This window comes from Homo sapiens, chromosome 14 (assembly GCF_000001405.40).
Source record: "Homo sapiens chromosome 14, GRCh38.p14 Primary Assembly".
Taxonomy (NCBI): Eukaryota; Metazoa; Chordata; class Mammalia; order Primates; family Hominidae; genus Homo; species Homo sapiens.
In genome coordinates, this window is record NC_000014.9 from 104,555,657 (window position 1) to 104,577,624 (window position 21,968).

The 21,968-nt window shown below is 60.7% G+C and overlaps 4 annotated features.

Annotated features, from left to right (window-relative positions):
• Positions 7,503-8,064: an enhancer, noted in NCBI's record as "H3K27ac-H3K4me1 hESC enhancer chr14:105029496-105030057 (GRCh37/hg19 assembly coordinates)". NCBI's record gives its function as "activates a minimal SCP1, AML or CMV promoter by ChIP-STARR-seq in naive H9 embryonic stem cells {active_cell/tissue: H9 hESC(naive)}" and the evidence as "EXISTENCE:reporter gene assay evidence [ECO:0000049][PMID:30033119]".
• Positions 8,721-9,467: an enhancer, noted in NCBI's record as "H3K4me1 hESC enhancer chr14:105030714-105031460 (GRCh37/hg19 assembly coordinates)". NCBI's record gives its function as "activates a minimal SCP1, AML or CMV promoter by ChIP-STARR-seq in naive and primed H9 embryonic stem cells {active_cell/tissue: H9 hESC(naive and primed)}" and the evidence as "EXISTENCE:reporter gene assay evidence [ECO:0000049][PMID:30033119]".
• Positions 9,468-10,212: an enhancer, noted in NCBI's record as "H3K4me1 hESC enhancer chr14:105031461-105032205 (GRCh37/hg19 assembly coordinates)". NCBI's record gives its function as "activates a minimal SCP1, AML or CMV promoter by ChIP-STARR-seq in naive and primed H9 embryonic stem cells {active_cell/tissue: H9 hESC(naive and primed)}" and the evidence as "EXISTENCE:reporter gene assay evidence [ECO:0000049][PMID:30033119]".
• Positions 15,782-15,982: a silencer, noted in NCBI's record as "peak2258 fragment used in MPRA reporter construct". NCBI's record gives its function as "represses an SCP1 promoter by STARR-seq MPRAs in K562 erythroleukemia cells {active_cell/tissue: K562}" and the evidence as "EXISTENCE:reporter gene assay evidence [ECO:0000049][PMID:32103011]".

A 21,968-nucleotide genomic window follows, 5' to 3' on the forward strand; every position in this document is an offset into this window, starting at 1 on the left:
GATAATTTCAGGATGCATCCAGCCATGGAGAAAGCTGCTGAGGCACTGCGCTGGGCAGAACAAAGAGGAGGCTGGAGGCTCGGCGGCCTCACTGAAAAGCCCTGTGGAGAGATTCTGGGCTTGCGGGACCAGGGGCAGGCTCCCCACCTAGTGGGTCTCCAGGTGGGGATCAGCAGTCCAAAATCAGAGCCATGTGAGCCCTGCCAGAAAGAAGGACCCAGGAGGGGTCCAGCCCCTCACCTGCCTGCTGTGCAGCTGTGGGCGAGTCTCTCTGAGCCTCAGTTTCCCTACCTGTACAGCAAGGACTGGATGAGCTCCTAGAAAAGCGGCTGCTCTGCAGAGCTGGGGAGGGGGTTGTGGAGATGGCCATCCACAGTCATCTCTGCTCCTTTCCCAGGAGCAAACACCCAACTGAGCATCTGCCATCTGCCCTGGGGTCACAGCTTCCCTTCCCTCAAGTTCAATCTCAGTGGCTTGAGGCCACCAGCGCTGTCCCTGGGGACACAGCTCTTCTTCCCCCATCTCCCATCCCCACCCCACCCCAGTCATATCCAGCAGGGGCTGAGCCTCTCCAGGAGCTACGAGGCTGGCTTTGAAGCCCAGAGCTTGAAAAAGGCACTATAGATGGAAAAGAAGCTGTCGGGGCTGCCATCTTCAAAGCCAGAGGCTGTGGCAGCTGAAGCCCCTGCTTGGGCTTTGCTGGAGCCCCGGCTTGGGCTTTGCTGGAGCACATCGTTCTGAAGACATGCCCAGCCCTGCCCCTCACCCCAGGCTCCCAGCCTCCTGCATGAAGCTCTGCACCCCTGGAGGGACGAGGGACTAGGGGGCCACTCAGGAGCAGGTGGGGCACTCAGGGATAGACAAGAGGGCTGCGGTGACACTGTGCCTGGGCTGGTCCCCCGGGGTCCAGGGCTCTCCTCTGGCCCAGAGGGACACCCGAGCTCCCTGTGCAGCCTTGTCCAACCTGGAGCTCAGAGGAAGTGGCCATCATGGCCCTCAAATCCTGTCCCAGTGGACACTGGCAATGGGCTGGCCCGGCCAGACAGGCTCACGTGGGCCAGAGGGTCACCCCCTCTTCCTGCAGCCCAAGGAGAGGAGCCCAAAAGGAGATCCCCTCAGGGACTTCCAGCCCACACAGACTGAGGATGCCCAAACCAAATTATGGCCAAAGGCCCCGGGGAGCTGAGAGAAGACAGGGAGTCAGGGAAGGCAGCGTCTGCAGGAGCCCCCAGGCCCCCTCACCCACCCAGGGAGTGACGCCCTGAGCCCCCACAGCCAGCCCCCAGCCAGGCCCCCAAGCCCTGCAGGAAATGGTCACTGTGTCCACTCCCGGCTGGCCACCCCTCCCCAGTAAGAGTCTCTAACCTGACCCTTCCCTAGTTGCCCCAGAACCTTCCAGAATCAAAGGAAACCACAGACTTCTCTGCCATGTCTTCTAGTTCCCAGGGAGCAGGAGACCCTCCTCCGCACAGCCCATCTGAGGGCAAGGCTGGAGAGGCTTCTGCTCCCCTGTCTAGATCCCCCTCTGGAGCCAGCAGCAGATGCCTGACAGAGAGAAGCAGTTCCAGTGCTGAGAGGCCTGGCAAAGTCCCTCAGGTGCTCAGGCTCTGACGGGCCACGGCTCGTGGAGAGAGCAGTGTGCCAGATCACCCCTACTCTTCTTCCAGGGACCACCTCCCCACCATTCCAGGACACACCAACAGACCCTGTGTGTCGGGCTCAGGAGCTGCCCAAGGGTCTGATGTCCCAGGCTTGTGAGGAGTGGGCCACCAAGAGGATGGGCATGCTTGGCTGGGGACCCCCAGCCAATCCAGGTGGGATTCACTTAACTCTCTGTGCTTGACACCCAGAAGTCACCAAATGAAGGGACCCACAAAATCACTCATGGTGAACACGGCTCCATAGGGATATAGGCTCAAATCACAAGGGCCCATCTCAGCTGGGAAGGTAGACCCAGGCTCGGCTGGGAGGTGAACTCAGACTTGACTGGGAGGTAGACCCAGGCTCAACAGGGAAATGAACTCAGACTCGGTTGGGATGATGGCCACAGGCTCAGCTCGGAAGTGGACTCAAGCTCAGCTGAGGTGATGGTCCTAGGTTCAGCTGGGAGGTGGACTCAGGCTCAGCTGGGATGATGGACTCAGGCTCAGCTGGGAGGTGGACTCAGGCTCAGCTGGAAGGTGGGCCCAGACTCAGCCAGGAAGTGAACTCAGGCTCAGATGGAAAGTGGCCCCAGGCTCAGCTGGGAGGTGGACCCAGACTTAGCTGGGAGGTGGAATCAGGCTCAGCTAGGAGGAGGAACCAGGCTCAGCTGGGAGGTGAACTTAGGCTCAGCTGGAAGGTGAACTCAGGCTCAGCTGGAAGGTGGCCCCAGGCTCAGCTGTGAGGTAGAGTCAGGCTCAGCTGGGGTGATGGACCCAGGCTCAGCTGGGAGGTGGACTCAGGTTTGGCTAGGGAGGTAAACTGAGGCTCAGTACAGGTTGAAGCACCATCACCAGGGCAGCCGTGACAGGTGATGACGTTGGACTGCTTTTGTATGAAAGAGGCAGCGCTTAGTTCTCACTAGAAGAGACGCTTAATCTGAATATGGACTGGTCTTTCCTGGCCACAAGGCTTCTGCAAATATGACCATCTTTCCCCATCAGCCTGGCCTTCCGCACAACATTGCTGTTAGCCAAGGGTCTCCCTTCGAGCTGCAATGGACTCAACCTCACAGAATCCACTGGTCTGACGTCCCCACTGTCTGGCAGCTGCCAGCCTGAGAGGCTGGCAGACTGGCCTTCGGAGACTCAGGGATGGCGCCAGCTGGGTGGCGATGCCCTGTGGGGCCTGCCAGGGCCCTGAAGGATACAGTGCAGGCTCCCAGTCAGTGACCCACAGCTGGGATTCACGGTCTGGGGATCTGGGGCTGGAAATTGGGGCTTTTCATGTGGTCACCTCTGTGATAGTTACAACTCACCCTTTGACTCTCACAGCCTGGTCCTTGAACTGCAGATGTGTCAGCCAATCTCAGAGCCAAGCCCAGCAGCTCCAGGCCAGATGGCCTCACCCACCTCCAGCCCAAGAGCATCCTCTTAGGAGGGGGGTTAAACTGAGCCTCCAGAGACCACCTTCCCGTGGCACCTGCTCGTAAACTAACTCATCCGGGAGGTGGGGGACCACTGGGTTCCACATATGGAAACAAGGGTGGTGGGAGAGGCGGGGTGCACAGGGCCGAGCTCCTCAGCAGGGTCCCCATGGATGGGACAATCAACAAATGCAGAGCACACCTAGGAGCCTGCAAGGCCGCCCTGCTGCCCGCGGCCCCTGCAGAACCAAGAGGCTTCCACTTTCTAAATCACACAAATTAATTTAGAAATCAGAGCGGCTCCCACAGCTAGACTGCAGGTTTCAAAATAGCTTAACAAATTACCAAATCCCCTTTAAGAAGACAAATTATTCCAGCTCCTCCACCAGCACCTGGTTAATGATGCATGCACTTTTGTTAGGCGTTAAATATTCACTAGCTGTGGGTTTGCACTTGTGACCCGTTGCCTCATTTCTATGTGGGCTGGCTGTTGTGCCCCATGCTGTCCCAGCACCCGGGGATGCTGGCCTTGGGACCACCGTGCAAGGTGACGGCCCAGCGGTTCCACCTTCCCTGACCATGGCCATGGCTCACCTCTGCCTGCCCAGGGCTGCCCTTGGTGCAGGCAGAGCCCACATCCCCTCACCAGCCTTCCAGGCCGTGCCATAGCCTTGGCATGTGAGGCCTCCTTGCCACCCGGCCTCCCTCCATCCCCATCTCCAGGCACACTCACCCACTGGCATCTCCCCGGGGCTGCTGTGGCCTTTGTCCCTCTTCCTGGTCTGATGCACACCCAGGGACAGACATGGGGTTTTCCTGACCCGAGTTTCAGGCCTCCAGTTCCTGACCAGCTTCTCCACACTGGCCCCACAGGCAGAGTGTGCCTCGCCCGCAGAGACGAGGTTATGTTCCCCGACCATGGGCGTTCAGGGGGTGGGAGACCAGGAGGGCACTCAGGCATCCAGCACTGCCATCCTTCTTGAGGCAGGTCCCCAGGCTGCCAGAGTTGTGGCCCAGACTCCCTGGACAGCAGAGACACCTGGTCAGGACTCAACCCCAGGGCCAACTAGAGGGAGCTGAGCCCTGGGAGGACCTGCAACCCTAGTGGGGCCACCAGAGAAGTCCCTCCCTCCTCTTCCCCAAGACTTGACAGCCGGGCTGTGCCCTGAACCCGCCCCTACTCCCCCTAGGCTGCCTGGGCGCCCCGCATTCACTGTTTCCACTCTTGACAGATGGGGAAGGGGGAGCCAGGCAGGAAGGAATGCCCCACCCAGGGGCCCCCCAGCAACAGTGCCACCCAGCCCAGGACCCCGGCTTCACACAGACAGGCTCCCCAGCTGCAGGGGCTTTCCTCGCCCTCCCTCTCCTCACACTGGGGCTCTTCTGATTTGAGATCAACTTCCAAATGTCTTTCTTGAATGTTCTGCCTAATTAACTTCACATTAAGAGGACTGAAAAGGACATGGCAGCCGTGCCAATCCACAGCCTGCCCCACCGCGACGGGGAGAAGCACATCTCACTCAGCCTCCGACGCCTGCCACTTCATGCGTGCAGGCCTGGCTCCTCCTCGTCCAGGACAGTCAGCCCTGCTCCCCGGTGCACACACACACGCACACACACACTCACACAAATGCACGCACATCCATGCATGCATACATGTATGCGTATGTCCACACCCACATACATGGACACAGATATATACATGCCACACACGCACACACCCATATACACGCACATGCGTGCATTGCACACAGGCACAAGCTTGCATGCTCACACATGCACACAGCCAGGAGCAAGCTCCTGAAGCCACTGAGTGGTGCCACCTTGTGCTTTGTCCTTGGGGACCAGCTGAGGAGCCACTGGCCAACAGGGACCACTCTTAGTGCCCCTTTTTCAGGCACAGAGGAGCTGAGGCCAAGAAAGGGAAGGGGCCTGGTTCAGAGTCCCCCAGTGGCCACTGGCTGGGAAGCTCTGCAAGCTTGGGTGCCTGGCAGTGCCTTCCCCAGCCGCCCTCACCCCCCTGCCCCAGCCTTGTGACTCCCCTTGGCCCCACCAGTGACTGTGTCCACTTCCTCCTGAGCCCACAGCCCTTGACACCTGTCCTTGCCATAGCTGGGCCCAGCCACGCTCTTCAGCAGGCAATGTGGCCCCCTCCACAGGGTCTGAGCTGGGCACCAGCGTTCAGTAGTTAGGAGGTTCCATATCTGTGTCCCCTGTCCAGCCTGGCTGGCAAAGTGGGGACTCAGCCTCTCTGTAGTCTCCACCTGCTTCCCTCCACCAGGCAGGTCTCCCCCTCACCTCCCACCCTCCTCCATCATCAGCTTCCCATCCCAGCCCCCAGAGGCCAGCAGGCTGGGGTGCCCTCCCCAGCCAGGTGGGGATGGGTGAGGGCTGGACTCCTTCCTCCCTGCCCCAGCTGCCTGCCCCACCATGTCTGGCCAGCATCCGCTTACAGAGCAAGAGATGTTCAGCTCAGCTTCCTGGGCCACCCAGCCTGCTGTCACCCTCCTCATCCCAGGAGAAATGGGACCCCGTTCCCTGCCTCGGGCCCCACCAGACACCTGGACTCCAGCGCACCCACCGGGACCCGCCCCTCAGCTCTTGTGAGCCTCACATGCCCAGGCCGAGCCACCGCCCTTCCCCTCGACAGCCCACAGGGCCCGAGGCTCCACAGAACCCCCCCAGCGTCCTCTGTAAGGATCCAGCAGAGACACAGGCAGCTGCCCTGAGCAGCACGGAGGCTGGGGCAGGCGCCAGGTTCATGCTTTCACGCTCACTTTGGAAACTGTTGGTTCAGCAGTCTGGCCGACTACCTGCTCTGCGCACCGGTGACCTTAAAACCGTCCATGCTTATAAATCACCTGGGATTTACATACGGACTGGTGGCAGGTAATCTTTCAGAACTCCCCCCCACTCACACGCAGTCAGTGTGGTTACGCAGGATCAGGATCCTGGGTGGAGTGGAAGAGAGAATGAACTGACACGGGGCTGGGAGCCTGACAGGCAGCATCATCAGGGAAGTTTACGGAGTGGGAGGCAGGGCTGCCTGTGCGTCCAGCTCCAGCTCAGCTCCAGCTCAGCTCCAGCTCAGCCAGGCACCCAGGCTCAGGTTGGAGGGGCCGCAGAGGCTGCTCCTCCTGCCCCGCTGATGTCCTCACCTCTGCTCAGCCCCTGCGTTGATGACCACCCCGTGGCTGGGACCCCACCCAGCCTGCAGCCCTCCAACAAAGAGCCTCCAGGGCCTGCCCAGCGATGGGGAGTTCCTCCCTCTGGGGTTTGCTGGTTAAGAGCAAGTCTTGCTCCATGGAAAAGAAGTTCTAACGGCGGAATCCACACCAAGAGAAACGGCCACGAACAGCCTCTGCCCCACACGTCGCGTGGGCCCCAGAACCACAACGAGGAGGATCAAAAAAAGGAGTCAAATACTTCCTGGAGACATTTTCCAAGACCACTCCCACCCCATAGCAGAAGGAGGTATGCCAGCCCGCCATGTGTCCCCTCCACTTTGATGCTCCTTCAGCCATCACGGACTCTCAGAGCCCTGCCTGGGTCAGACTGTGCGGGCGGCAGTCAGGACTCTGTGTGAGCAGGAATCAAGGCCCAGGGTGGGCCAGGATCAGAGCTGAGTGAGCTAGAATCCGGGTCCAGGGTGGGCTGGGATCAGAGCTCAGAGTGAGCTAGAATCCAGGTCCAGGGTGGGCTGGGATCAGAGCTCAGGATGGGCTAGAATCAGGGTCCAGGGTGGACTGGGATCAGAGCTCAGAGTGGGCTAGAATCCGGGTCCAGGGTGGGCTGAGATCAAGACTCAGGGTGGGCTGGAATCAGGGCTCCATGTGTCTGGAATCAGGACTCAGTGTGAGCTAATGTTAGGCCTCTGTGTGAGGTGGATCAGGGCTCCATGTGGGCTAGGATCCGGGCTCAGTTTGGGGCTGAGTCAAAATGCTCTGGCATGGCCTCACAGAGGTGGCTGGACTTGCTCATGGTCACACAGCAGGCGACAGGTGCTGGTGGAGCTCCTGGGTCCATGCGGCTCAGGCCCCATTGCTCTTCCCCACCTGCAGAAGAAGCCACCCACCCCCCTTGCAGCCCATGTCTGGGCTCTGAGTCCCTCAGAGCTCTACGGACACAGCTGTCTGGCCAATGAAAGGGGTGGCCAGGGTCCCCTGGGATCTGCACAGCACATGGGGTCCAAGCACATGGAAGGATGCTGGGCAGACACCCTGAGGCTCAGACCCACATGCCCCAGCAAGGACGGCTTGGAAACTACCTCACCACTCCCTGGCAGCCAGAGGGAGAGGGTCTCCCTGATGAGCCCAGGCTGCTCCCTGAGGGAGGGAGGGAGGGAGGGAGGGAGGGAGGGAGGGAAGGAGGAAGGGAGGGAGGGAGAGCAAAGGCCGCCTCTGGGCATGTTGTCCCAGCCAGGAGCAGGTGGCTGCACAGAGCAAGGGCCTGTAGGGTGAGCCTTGGGGCTGCCTTCCAAGGAAAGAGTCATCACAGACCCCTCCTCCTGTGCTGCGGGGGAACTGAGGCCCCTGGTCCCTCAGCCCAGCGCAGGCTGCCATCACTATCCCCGAACTCGAGAGCAGGGGCAGAGGACCCTCAGCCATCTTCCTGTCCCATAGAAGAACTCCCAGTGGGAAACCCCACCCCCAGCAGAGGAAACAGCCCTCAGGACACCAACACCCCCACGGCTGCCAGATGCTCTGGGGAGGCCGCACCAACTCACACGGCCTAACAGCCCTGCCGAGGGATCCCAGGTGTTTGGGGACGGACTGCACACCCACCCTGATCCAGGGCTGTGACTGTGAAGAGGAGCTCCGGCCCTTCCCCAGAACACAGCCTGCCTCCTGGCACAACAAAGAAAGCCGGGTGTGGGCATGGCCCACTGCACAACCCCACCCCCAAAGCCAGGGCTGAGCCGGCCAGCCCACAAGCCCTCAAGGGGCACAGGCGTGTGCTGCCTCCCTGAGCACCGAGCACCAGGGCCAATGGCCAGGCCCCCGAGGCTAGGAGCCCCTCCCCAGAACTGTCTGCAGCCCTCTTGCCTGTGGGGACCCCTGACCCATGTGAGGCTGTGTGTGGGGGAGGAGGGGGCCCTGGTGCCCCCAGAGTGGAGTCAGCCCATGCATGAGGATGCCACTGGGGAGCCACGTGGCCCCACTGGGCTGGGATTCCCCCGGGTGTCCCGAGGCCACCGCACACTGCAGGGCCCATGAGTTTGCAGTTTGTCCCAGTAAAAAAGCTGCCCTGAGCCCAGACACCCACGTGGGTCCTTCCTGCCCGAGATTCCGGCCTTGTTGCTCCTGCCCTTAGGAAATGCGTTGCTGTCTCTGGGTTCCTCTGGGTAGCGAGGCTTCTGGGCCTGAGGGAAGTGTGGGACAGCCCTACAGCACAGGCCCCCAGTCCCGCCAATCCCCACCCCCGGGGTCAGGCCCTGCCTCCTGCATCCCTCTTCACTGGCCAGTCCTCCATTGCCACCTGGTGGCCATTGCCCCACGACAGCCGGGACCGCCAACCTGCCCGACCCGAGCTCCTCCAGGCACCGGTGCCTCCTGGGTGGACACTGGGCAGCTGTCCTGGGCCTGAACTCGCCAGACTTTGGCAGAAGGCAGGGTTCAGGGGTCCCCAGCCCCCATCCTAGATGGGGAGGCGCCCCGGTCCGGGCATTGCTGGAACAGCGCCCTTGATCTTGAAAAGGAGCTTCAGTCATCAAAGGGGCTCCATCCCTGGAGGGCAAATGGCAATAAAAAGACACAAACAGGCGGCGTTAGAGTGGCCCGGGGGAGGCGCTTCCTGATTGCGAATCCAATTCTCATTCCTGAAGGTCTTTAAAACCCTTCCTGAGCCATGTGATTGTCTCAAAAGAGCTGTTATTACTCTTATAAAAAAAAACTTATAAAAAAATTCTAATCAACATTGGTCTTAAACCGCAACGTCTCAGCACCCAGCACTGCCTCCGCAGCTTCGTGGGGCTGGCGGGAGGGACATTTACGAGCCATTTCACGCCCCGCGGCTGCCCATCAACCATGGGGCTTTTGTCACCCACCATAGCGATAGCAATGGTTTTGTAACTCAAAAGTTATTTATTAATATCGGTATCTTCCACGTGAGTGTCTCTGGCAGCCAGGGTGGCGCTGAAAGGTTGGGGGTCCTGTCGTGGGCATACATGGTGGTCCCCAGCCCGCCAGACCCGAGAAGCCTCCAAGACGTCACTGCTTTCCGCTGTCTCAACAATGCATGGCGCCTGTCTCACCAGCACCGTGGGAAGCCAGGCTGACCTGCCGGCAGGATGGGGCATCTGAGGTCCCAGGCAGCTGCTTTCAAGGCCACCATCCAGCCCTGCACAGGGCAGCAATGCCTTTGGCCAGGGCCACATCCAGGCATGCACAGAGCTGGAGCACACCGGCCCCGGGCCCGCAGCACCACCACCCTGTGGACCTTATCAGGTCAGCCTCTCAGGGGCGAGTCTCCCCACCTGGTGCTCCAGGATTAGCACCGTCTCAAAGTCAGGTTGGAGTCACTCTCGGCCACGCACCATGAGTGACCCGAGCACCCCTCATCTTCAGAGCCCAGAGGGAGCAGTCCACGGGCTCGGGGAGAGCCTTTGCGGACAGAGCACCCAGTGCCCCACAGCTCCTTAGTCATCATCTGGGGGAGTCAACTCCTCACGAGCTGGGGGCCTCCAGCGGGAGGCTGCCGAGCCAGCTCTGGGCCCCAGGGCTTCCAAGGAGCCTGTCCCCAGGAGGAGCGTGTGAGCTGCGGGAAGCAGGCAGTTTTGTCACCATGAGTGTGCAAGCTGTGGGGGGCCTGGCCCCTCCGTGCTCCTCCCCGGACCCATCTCCAAGGCAGCTTGCCTTTCCCCATTCCCTCCAGTTGCAGGTTCTGGCCAGTGTCCCCATGGAGGTCACACTGGCTGTTGGCTCCTGAACCACCTCCAGCTTTGGCCTAAGGGCAAGAGCCCAGCCCCGAGGACAAGGACAAGCGCCAGGGCCCTGGAGACAGAACCAGCAGGGCAGTCAGTGCTCAGCCCCTCGGGGCCCTCAGGCCTCCACTGCAGCAGCGGCTGCACCCTCTCCTTCCCCAGAGAGGGGCCAAGATGCGATTTGCTGTCCCCCCCACCGCACTGAGAAAGGGGGGGCCCAGGCAGGCACCCCCACCCCACCCAGACACATGTCCCAGCCCACGTGGGTTCCCTGGCTGGCTGGCTCACAACTTCAGAGCACCCCCACCCTCTGCTCTAGGCACCTCCGACCACCCACAGGGGTCTGTGCGAAAGTAACGGTGGGGCTCCAGCCAGCTCCTGCCCAGGGTCCTGTCCCTGCCACCGCCTGACCTTTCTGTTCAGCCTCCACCCGGCCCACCCTCAGGCTGGAGGGCACCATGAAGGGGAAGACAGATGGCAGATGCTCACCCCATGGGCAGAGCCATCTCAGCCTGAGGGCAGCATCCTTGCTGGGCAGAGCTCCCTCTCACAGCCACCCCAGCCTCCTGTCCTCCGCACACATTTGACTCCCTGATGGGGCTCTGCCCTGGCACACTCAGGCTCCCAGGCAGCAGAGCTGGGCAGGATGGATGAGACCAGAAGACAATGTGAAGTCCCTGCTCAACCCGGGGCTGCCGGGGACCGCAGGGTTAGTGCATACTCAATGGAGGCAAGCCTGAGGCTCTCTGGGAAGGAGAGAAGGGGATGCACTTAACACAGGCTCTTTCTAGGGGTGATTCCCGAGCTTCCCAGAGTGCCCCCTGGATGTCAGTTACACGCCCGAGTGGGCTGGAAGGACGGCCTTGCCGGGGTCCAGGGCTCCTGGCCACGCGGCCTTTTCAGTTTGCTGTCTCGGCTCTGCAGAGGCCACAGCTTATCTGTGACAGACAGACCCACCTCCCTGCCTTGGAGACTGCTCCCCAGGGCTTTCTTGCACCCCCATGCCATTTGACTGACCCTGTCAGGAGGGTCTCTGACTCACCACCGGTGTACAAGGTGTGAGCGAGCAGGTGCTCAGACAGTCACAGGTACGGGCTCTGCAGGTGAGCACTGACCAGGTGGCTCGGGGCTCTGGAGACTCTGAATGGAGAGAACCCCAACTTCTCTCCCTTTGAATTGTGTGAACGTGAGCTGAACTCGCTGACCACAGCAGAGAGAAAATTTGTCAAAAATGCCCACCTGTGAGACCCAGGTCTTGCCTCGGGCTTTGGAGAGGCCGGTTTGTGGTTTAAGGACAAGCCGGGGGCAGGGTTCCCCAGGAGTGACCAGTCACTGGAGGCTCGGGCGGCGCAAAAGTCAGAAAGGGCAGAGGACAATCTGGGGGTGACTCCTGGCCCGCCTGACTCGTGAGGGCCTTGGTTTCTCCTGTGCTTGTTGAGGTCTGTGTGGGGGATGGTAGGGAAGCCCCTCGGAAGCGGAGGACCCGGGGCTGGCAGAAGTAATGACAGAGGGAATAGATTGCACCTCACCAGCCTGCCCGCACCCGGCTTCCTTGCCTCCACCCACACTGCAAGATGGGGCCCACGGGAAGGCATTTGCGCATACAACCCCTCAGCACCGCAAACACTGCCACCCCGGTCCTGGGAGCCAGGGCTGCCCTGGCCTGGGGGTACAGATGGGCAGGGGCACACCTGAGACCCATCAAGCAAGACTTGCCAAAGAAGGAGGCTCAGGAGCGAGGTGGGGCAAAAGCTGGCACAGGAGGCCCAGGCCCGCAAGCACCTAAGGAGGCCCCTGGGGTAGGAAGGGCCGGAGGTGGGAGTGCGTATGGCACCCAGCCTAGGACGGGAGGAGCCACAGCCGGCTGTGCAGCAGGGAGGGGCCCTCCGGGGCCTGAGGTGGGAACCAGGAGAGGCCAGCACTTCTAGACAGCAGCTCAGTCGCTCGCTCCACCTCTCAGAGTTCCGTTTCCAATATTCTCCCCCCATTGTCTGGAATCCAAATATTCCCACTTTTAAAAGCAGCTTCCAGATAGTGGTGTGCAGGAGGCCGAGCAACACCGTCTTTGAGGAGGCAGCCGAGATGAAGATAAGACCAGAGAAATCCATCACGCCGGCTTTTAGAGCCACGCACCCTCTCTGGACCCTGCCGGGATTAAAATGCACAGTCCTCTGTTGTGGGGGCCCATGAGGCCGGCGCTCCTCAGCCACAGAAATGGAACTGTAACTCAGCCCAGAAGCAGGGAGATCGCCTCCCAGATAAACACCCAGCAGCTCTAGAGTGCTGGCGGCCCTGGGCATCCTCCCCACTCCCAGCCCCAGGGCAGCCTGGGGAGCAGGGGTTCTGGAGGACCCCGGCCCCCTACACGGGCCCCCCACTCCCTAACGCTTGCTTGGGTCCAGTGGGGGCGGGAGGCTAGACAATGAACTGAGGTGCCCCCTGAGGGGCACCTGCTGCAGCTCGGGGACCCCAGGGACAGGGCCAAATGGCCATGACATGTCTCAAAGGCCTTTGCCAAGCCTGGCATCCTCGTCCATAAAAGGACAGGGCACGCAGCCGGGCACGGTGGCTCACAGCTGTAATCCCAGCACTTTAGGAGGTCAAGACGGGCGGATCACCTGAGGTTGGGAGTTCAAGACCAGCCTGGCCAACATGGAGAAACCCCATCTCTACTAAAAAATACAAAATTAGCCGGGCGTGGTGGCGCATGCCTGTAATCCCAGCTACTCGGGAGGCTGAGGCAGGAGAATTGCTTGAACCCGGGAGGCGGAGGTTGCACTGAGCCGAGATCGTGCCATTGCACTCCAGCCTGGGCAACAAGAGCAAAACTCCGTCTCAAAAAAAAAAAAAAAAAAAAAAAGATGGAGTTTGCCAGGGGCAGGGCTGTTCCACCTTCACCACACCAAGGTGAGGACAGAACCCAGGCTGCGGCCAGGGCAGGAAGAACTGAGGTCGTTTGGGCCTTGTCTGGCCACCCTAAGGAGTCAGCCCCTCTGCCCAGGAGCTCAGCGATGCTGCCTGTGGCCACAGGGTCGCCTGCTCTACCTTCAGCCTCAGTTTCTCCCTTGTAAAGGGGACATACAGCTCCTTGGGAGCCATGAGCTTGGGCCACTACTTGTGAAGCGCAGAGGGAGCTGGAGCACAGAGGCCTCAGTCAGGCACGTGCTGCTGCCGTGGTCCACGTGGGAGGTCACGTGCATCCCCGCAGTGGTGCTGGGTGGGCCCTGCACCTTCAGGGCCTCCCTGGTGCACCCCGGGGTCTGTGAGGCCAGCTCGCTGCCTTTCCAGCTCATCCACCCCATTTCTCTGCTCCAGCCCTTCCCCAGGGCTCCTGCACTCAGCCCCTCCAACCCCAGCTTGGCGAGCTGCCCCTTCTGTCCTGCTCCCACTGCCACCCCCAGCACCAGCCCCTCCCAGCGCCCCTGAGCCCTATGGGACTCCTGCCCTGCCCCTAGCCACACCTCAGCCGCAGGCCCTGCCTGGACATCACTCACGGTTGGTTCTGGGGCCACGGCGCACTGGACACAGGGTTCAAGTGTGCTACATGAATAGTGACAGGATCTGTGCAGCAAAGGGGGGTCCCTGCGTCCCCAGAAAGCCCCTCCTGCCCTCAGCCTCCCCAATACCTTCAGCAGGAAGGTGTGTGCAGGGTCTCTGGAGGCTGCCACCCTCCCATCCACAGCAGCGGTCCTGCCTCGGGGCGGCCAGAGCCAGCACGGGGAAGCTGACGCGTCACAGGGCGGCTTCCAAACAGGATCATAGCGAGAACGCCGCATAAAAGCTCTAAATAAACCCCAAAAAGGAAAATGGGACTGTTTTACCACTGAATCAATTCACCTCTAATTTTAATGCTCTGAAAAGTATTTTCTCTTAATGACTCCATTATTTTATCATATGGTGAGCAATAAACTCCCTCCCCACATTTGCCAGACAGCCTCAGCCTCTCCGGTGTCTGCCAGGCAGGGAATCCTTTATAGGCGGCTCTGCACACACACAGCACTTGGCTTTCGTTTAGTGGTGATTTTATAGAAGATTCCCCCATTTCGTGTAATATAAAGCCTAGAACTTAATTAGCCTCCGTCAGCTCCTCGGGCTGCTATGGAGTGGGTGTGTTCATGCACCCGCAGACCACACACCATGACAAAGTCGCCGACCGTCTCAAGGCAGCATCCCTGTGGCTGGCATGGGCAGCATGCCCCAAACATGAAGCACTCAGGACCCCAGAGGGCTCCTGGCCTCCCACCTGGCAAGTGGGTGCAGGTTATTAATCCCCAGCTCCCTGATGGCTCTCCCACCGGGACACACACATCCCTCACAAGCAAACGTGATTCCCAGCAGGGAGCTGGCGGTCTCGGGAATGACCTCCATGTGGGCTCCTGGGGAAGCCCAGGCGACTGTGCAAACCCTGCTGGCGAGGGTGCCGCCCTCCACGGTTTTCCAGGCCCCAGGGTGGGCACATGTGCCGGCTCACGGTGGGTCTGCTCCAACTCCAGTGGGAAGAAGAGATGCCGAGGATGCAGCAGCACCATACGTGGGAATGGGGACAGCTGCGGGGGGCTGGGAGCACAAGTGAGGGACAGAGCCAGGGCAGGTGAGGCCAGACGACGGACATGGTGAGCAGGGTCGGACACAGTTCCTCCTACAAGAGCCTGCTTGTGCCCTTTGATCTCCAACATCTCTCCTGGGTGCTCCACATCGAGGCGCCCCCACGGCACATCTGACCCCTCCTCCAGTAAACCTAAATTAGTTCCTTATTGTGCAACCTGGACAACTGTACATGGCCAACATTCAGGGGTCCCAACAAACTGCCTTGTAAATTGGAGGCCAGAGCCTGGCTTCCCTGTGTGGTGCCAGGCAAGGCACTGCAGCTTACACATGACACACACACGGCACACATGCAGCACACACGCAGCACACACGCAGCACACACATGCCCCTGCTGCTCCCGCCTGACGCCGGCCACTTACTCACACGCCTTCTCCCCCAGACAGAAGAGCAAAGGAGGTGGGAGGGTAAGGGGGAGACTTGAGTAACCTCACAGTACCCTAGATGCTAGGAGAACAGGTACCCGTGGGCCAGGCGCGTGTGCACACCTGCCTGGGCATGACACAGCTATGGGGTGTGTACGCAGGGCTCACATGTGGGGCCCAGAAACCTCCCTGCGTACTCAGATACCTCGTTCAATATCTGTAGCATGAGGGGCACTCCTGCAGGGGTCTGGAGCAATTCTTGGCCTAAGTGGCTATTTGCAGACTCCCCTCTCCCCACAGGCCCGGAGGAGTCGCAGAGTGGCTTTGTAACAGTGCGTTCTCCCTGCGTTTACCCCAGTGGGTTCTACAGGCTGGGCCTTGTCAAAGTGACGGGCAGGCGCTGGGCACTGGTGACAAAGGCAGTGGCAGCACTTGGCCACACTCAGCCTCTGGGGGCCCCGGACGTGCATACATCGCGGTCCTCCCCTTATGAGCGAGGAGACACCATGGCTGCTTGCACCTCGCGTGCCGGGGAACTGGGAGAGTGGGGCTCACGTGTGCATCTGCCCACCTCTGCTGAAGCCTGGGGCCACACAAAGCCTCTTGGGGTCAGAGCTTGCTGGGGCCCCGTGGGGGACGTGAGACAGAGAGAGAAGGTGTGTGTGTGCACACGTGTGAGACTCGGTGTGCCTGGTTGTGCACGTGACTGCGTGCATATGAAACACAGACAGGCGTCGGTCCAGCGGAATTTCTGTGGCACACTTGAGCTGCGTGTAGCCCCCTGCTTCTGACTGTACAAAGACCTCACGCTCTCATCCGAGACCGGAAAGCTGTGGACGGGGTTGGTGGCTCCTCTCGGAGCTAAGCTCCACCTCCCACTCCTCAGTCTGACCCTGGCCTCCCTCCCCAGCCCTCCCCAGCCCTCCCTCTCTCGGTTTTTTTTTTTTTTTCCTTATCCCCACACTCCTCTCCTGCAGCCCTGGCTTCAGGCCCCTCCCCAGCAGAGGCTGCAGCAGCCCCGGTGCAGTGGTGGGATGGGCCTGGCCGGACTTTCCAGTGCCCACTGTCCTATGCCCCCTGCCTGGCACCCCAGCCTGGCCCCTCGTGCCCACCCAGTGCTGGGTAGAGAGGCCCCGTCGTGAGCCCATCACTGCTGCCGCCAGAGGCTACTCAGGCCCAGCTCCTCAGAGGGTTTTTCTCGGGCCCTCTTTTAGTGACCTTCTCTGAACTTCTTGTGGCTGGCTTCATCGTGGGATTGCAGAAAGACCCGAGAGCCCCAGGGAAGGTGGCATTAAATCGCAAGCAATGGCACTTCTGGCACATCCAATCGATTTTGTCGTTCGTAAGAAATGGAAACAGGATGTGGCAAGGAAAAGGCAGTTTCAGGAACAAGGCTTCTCCCCTCGGGCTCTGGAAAGGGCAGGGAAAGGCTCTGTTGGCCCATGCAGCGGCCCCTGGAGTCCAGGCCCAAGATCCCAACCCCCGGCCACAGGACACGGTCAGCAGGTCCCTGCCTGGCTGCCCCACCTCTGGGAGCCCTCCTGCCACCCCGGCTGGCCTCCTGCGGGCTCTGAGCAAGGTCAGGCCCTGGGAACGAGGGAGGGGCCGCTCCTGAGTCCCCGAAGCCCTGGGCTGAGTGGGCCCCACCAAGCCTCCTTGGCCCTGCCCAGCTTCCTCCACTCAGAGCTGCTGGTGCATGTGCCCCAGAACGGGGCAAGGGGGAGGCAGGCACTGCCCCGCAGAGGAGTCTCACCCATCCCTTCCCTCTGTGTCCCAAGACAGGGCCTTGGCTGCTGCCCAGGGTGTCTTGCAGCAGCCCCTCCCCCAGCCAGCCTGTCCCTCAATGCTCTCCAGCAGGCACAGGACCAGAGAGCCACAAGCTGTGTGCCCACCCTGCACACCCACCCACAGCCCTCCCCCCATACCTCCTGGTCCTCGAGCCTATGCTTCCCACAGGCTCCTACCTGGTCATCCAGGCCAGCTGCCATGGCCCAGGAGCCTGCATCCATCCTTCCCTCAGCCACAGTGACACCCAAGGCGGTGCTCACAGCTCATCCCTGCCCTCAGGGCCACCCGAGGGGTCACCAGTGCCACAGCCAGTCATGTTATGTTGCACTGACTTCCCCAGCCAAATGCCTGGGGACCGGGGCTAGAGTTTTTCCTCCATTGTCCATTAATCATGGCTACCATTGTTGCATGGGTTCCTGGAGGTCTGGACCACCTGCCATGTGACGTACTAAGCATGACGTCACGAATGTAGCTGATCAGCATCATTTTCCGCAGACCAGGAGTGTCCCAGAGCACTGGATTGCAAGAGTAGCAAGAAAGTGCCAGTGGCTGGAGCACTGCTGTCTCTCACAGGCAGCTGGGTGGGCCCCTCTCTACTGAGGTGGTTGAGAAGGACACACTTGCTAGACACACCGCACACACCCAGGGCCAGAGGATGTGGTGACTCGGTTCAGTCGAGGTATCGCATCCGGCGGCGCATTTTCCATGTGGGCTGACTCTGCGTTGGGTTGGGTTCATCCATCACCATCGGCCATGATGCTGCTGGTTTTTGTGGACCATATGGGTGAACAGAGTGGGAACAGTGGGGACAGTGGGACTGACCATCCCTGTATCTTTTGAGTCTTTGGGGATGGTCCTAATTTCTGCAGATGCTCAGGATGTGTGGAATGACTCTCTTGGCCAGGGTCTTAGAAGCTTCCACTTGTTCGTTTGGGTTTTTTTCCTGCCAAAATGGCTCATAATCATTAGGTCAAGGAACCAATGGGCAGGCTCTGCCAACTGCAGAGTACAGGCAGCCCCTTCCCTTAGGCACGAGAGGCTGAGGGTCCCAGGGTCACTGCAGGGCGGGCTTGCCTCCAGGTCTCCGGGAGCCCTTACTCTACCCACAGCGGGGTTCTGGGTCCCCTGATATCACTGCCAGCTCAGAGCCCGTACCCACAGCTCTCAAAAGATCAGGAGAGTCTCCTGCCCAGCACATAGTTTCTGTGGGCCCTGGACACTGACTTCTGCCCTTTCAGGCCAGCTGCTCCTGACACGGTGGAAAGATCAGGAGAAGCTGCCCTCCCCAGTGGGCCGGAGGGCTCCAGGCGGCAACAGGGAGGGCAGCACCAGTGACGGGCACACCTGGGCTGAGGGAACTTTGGGCACCCAGGCTCTGGGCCACTCAGCCACTGCCAGGTGGGCACCCGCGTGAACCAGAACTGTGTGCCTGCCCGGCCAGCCCAACCTTGCCGCTTTCACAAGGAGGCACACAGTAGCCCCTCAGAACCTGCCACGGCCCTGCAAGGAGAGGATTCCCCTGGGGCAGGAGGTAGTAGCTCTCGGCCAGGCACTGACTGCCCAAGGTGGCAGGCCCAGGACAGGGTGTGGGTGGGGCCCTCCCTCCCCCGGTTCTGGTGCCAAGCTCTTCCCAGTGTCCTGTGCCTGTGCCCCATGTCCCAGCAGCTGTGTGCAGGGGAGTCATGACCAAGGGCGGCACCCAGTCCCCTGGATCTGAGCCCACTCCGTAAGCTGCCGCCTCACAGCCCGGCAAGGAGCTTCCCCCTACAGAGCCCCTGTCCTTATCTGCCAATGAGGCCAGGCCTGGGGCTCAGGAGGCGGTGGGGAGGGAAGAGGAGCTAAGCCCTGTGAGGAGCTAAGCCGTTGCACACAAGTATGCATTCTGCCCATCTAGCGCTTGGAGAGCATGGTTAATGGAAAGACCCAACTCCGTAGAACACGGAGCTTTCTTCTGAGCCAATATGAGTGACCGCGGCCCAGGAAAAAGTGCACACACCCAGGGAGCCCTGAGTGGGGGGTCCTGAGGCAGCCAGACACCAGCTCTGCTTCCCACCCACCTTAGTGTGACGGAATTGCAGGCAGTCATAGTTCAAGGAGCTTCTACATCGGTTCAGCCCAGAAAGGCAGGGTGTCTTGAAGCAGGGGGCTGACAGGTCGTCAGCGGGGCCAGAGATTATTTCATTTGCAATTAGTTAAAGAAGTAAAGCTTTGTCTATAAATGTGCAGTCATCAGAAAGGAATGTTTTCGGTGAAGATTAAGAAGTCTTTTAACCGATACACCAGGTCACAGTGGCGTGTGGGGTGCATGACTTGACCCTGGGCTGGCGGCCTTCGGTCCTGTTTATAATTCGAGTCTTAGGGTCACAGTCCTCTGATCACTAGGTTAACGTCACTACTGGTCAGCCCTGCCTGAACTCCCGCAGGGAAGGGGGAGAGCGAGGCACGTCTGCCCTCCTGTCCCATCATGACTGGGAACTCAGTTGTTCCGGTTTCTCTGGAGTCCCTTTGGCCAAGAGGAGCCTGTTCAGTCGGTTGGGGCCTTAGGGTTTTATTTTTATTTTACAGCACGTAGCACTTTTGCACACGGACAGCGTGGCCCTCACAGTTCGGCGCACATGTCCACAGATGTGTGGCTTGCCTGCGCCACAGAGAATGCACGCTTCTGGTGTGAGAATGAGGCTGTGTGTGACGTGTGAATGCTCGGCCCCGGCCGGCCGCAGCCAGGTCCCTGCGGTGGGTCCTCAGGCCCGGAGACCAGGGATGGCGCCCACAGTGGGAACCTGGGCTGACCGGCTGCCCCCGGGGCCCACGCCTGCAGTCGCCCCACTGAAGCCCAGACAGACCCCCACACGGCCTCGCCTCAGAGCCCAGAACCTTCAGCAGGTCAGGCGGGGTGGTGGAAGGATCTCCCGGCCCCTCCAGCCAGCCCCTAAGATGCTGCTGGAAAAACAGCTGTGGCAGGCAGCTCGGGGGGCCCCGGCTCGGTTATGGCTTATGTACAGCCCCGACAGCCAACTGGCTTTCAGGGAGGGACCAACTTCATAGATAAAATTTGTCATCGTATCGATGGCTCCTGTAGAGAAAAAAGGACTTTTACAGCCTCTTGGAGGTCATGAATAATAGAGGAGGAGGAAAGGGGCCGCTTTGGTTAGTGTTCCGCGGGGCCCAGAGGCCCCCATTATCTCAGCTGATGGGAGCTGGGGGGGCCCCAGCAGCCTATGGTTCTCACTCGTGGAAACCAGTGTGGTCATCACCCAGGGCCCCCACCACACTCAGGGCTGGGGGCAGTGCCCATGCGTCCTGTATTCTTAATAAGGGCTCTGACTTGGCGACGGGGTGACCATACATGGCCCTGTCAAAGGGCCCTGCCTCAGTCTGAGAATGACAAGCTGCAGGCTCCATGGTAGGGGCCTGGACCTCCCACTCCGGGCCGTGACCTGGGGCAGGACTCTAGCTGTATCTGCAAGCCGGAAGAGCAGCATCTCTCCAGGCAGCCGTATGTCAGGGGCCAGTGAGCAGACACAGGGGCCAGAGCGTCACAGGTCACCCCCATATGCCCAGAGTCTGCTCCCCCGTCCTCCCACCTCCCTCCCCACCCGTGGTCTATGGGGCCCTGAAGAGTCCCCAAAGGCAAAAATCCTCCTTTGCTTGCCTCCAGTGATGGGGAACTCACTACCTTACTGTCGGCTGTTCCTCCCATGGACAGCTCTGCCTGGTGGGAAGTCCCCCCACCAGCCCCTGTGCAGAGCAGCCTGTGCCTGTGGAGCCCCAGCCCAGGTTCCGGCTCTCACCCAGAGCATGCGTCAGCCCCTCTAACCCCAAACCCACACTCCTCCCTCATTTCCCTCATTTCCTCTCCTCTTCTCCTGGACCCCACCCTCAGGCTTCACTCCCACCAACCCCCAGGGTGCCTGGGCCAAGCCCACCTGTGACCACCACGTGGCAAGTCCTGTGAGGACTTCACTCCTTGTCCCTCCTGACCTAGCACTGGCTCTGAGTGTGCCAGTGGCAAAGACCTGCTCATGCGGCCTCCACCGGCCCTGGACTCACCCACCACCGCCACCCCTGCCTGCCCTCTCCCGTAGTCCTCTCCAGGGCCTTCTCACCGTGGTCATGGTTTATGGGGCCTCTCATGACCCCATCAGCCACCGTCCCCACCCAGCTGGAGACCCTCAACCAAGCCCTCTCAGGGGGTTTCCTGTGGTCATGAAGCAGCTGACGACCCACTGCAGAGACGAGAGCTACAAAGATGCATTCCCACTGTAGCAGAGGGAGCTGGGATCAGGACAGCCTCAGCTGCATTTTCACTGCCCCAGAGGGAGCTGGGCTCAGGACGGCCTTAGCTGGGCGTTCCCACGACAGCAGAGGGAGCTGGGCTCAAGACAGCCTCAGCTGGGCGTTCCCCCTACGGCAGAGGGAGCTGGGATCAGGACAGCCTCAGCCCGGCGTTCCTCCTGCTACAGAGGGAGCTGGGCTCAGGACAGCCTCAGCTGGGTGTTCCCACTACAGCAGAGAGAGCTGGGCTCAGGACAGCCTCAGCTGGGTGTTTTCACTGCCACAGAGGGAGCTGGGCTCAGGACAGCCTCAGCTGGGCATTCCCACTGCAGCAGAGAGAGCTGGGCTCAGGACAGCCTCAGCTGGGCGTTTTCACTACCACAGAGGGAGCTGGGCTCAGGACAGCCTCAGCTGACAGGGGTGCAGCCCTGAGCCCCGGAGACGCCTGGAGAACCTTTGGACCCATTTCCACCACAAGCCCTGGTGCTGCAGTCGGCCAGCCTGCACGAATTTCCCCCCGGGCTGTATGCCAGACAGGGGAAGGGCCAGCCTCCAGGCCTCTGCGCAAGAGGGCCACGGCCAACTCCCACCCCCTGGGCCAACGCTGGCCTCTCTTGTGCCTGGGGTCCTTCTGCTTCAACCAGCTGTGGACCCCACCCCCATCTCCCCCACCCACCGGCCCTTTCTTCTCTGGCCCAGGTCAGCCTAGGGCCTCCACACCCTCCAGCCCCACCCCCGACCCTGCCTGGAGCCATGTATGAGGCCATGCTGAGGCCCAGGGCTCTCCGCACTCCAGCCAGACCATGGTCCAGGGAGAGCTGGGAGTCTAGGCCAGCACCACGTGGCCATGACCAGAGTAGCCACAATCTCCAGCCCCTGCAGCCTCCACTCCCACGTGCCGCCCTACTCCACCCCGGCCACCTTCCAGGACCACCCCAAGGAAACA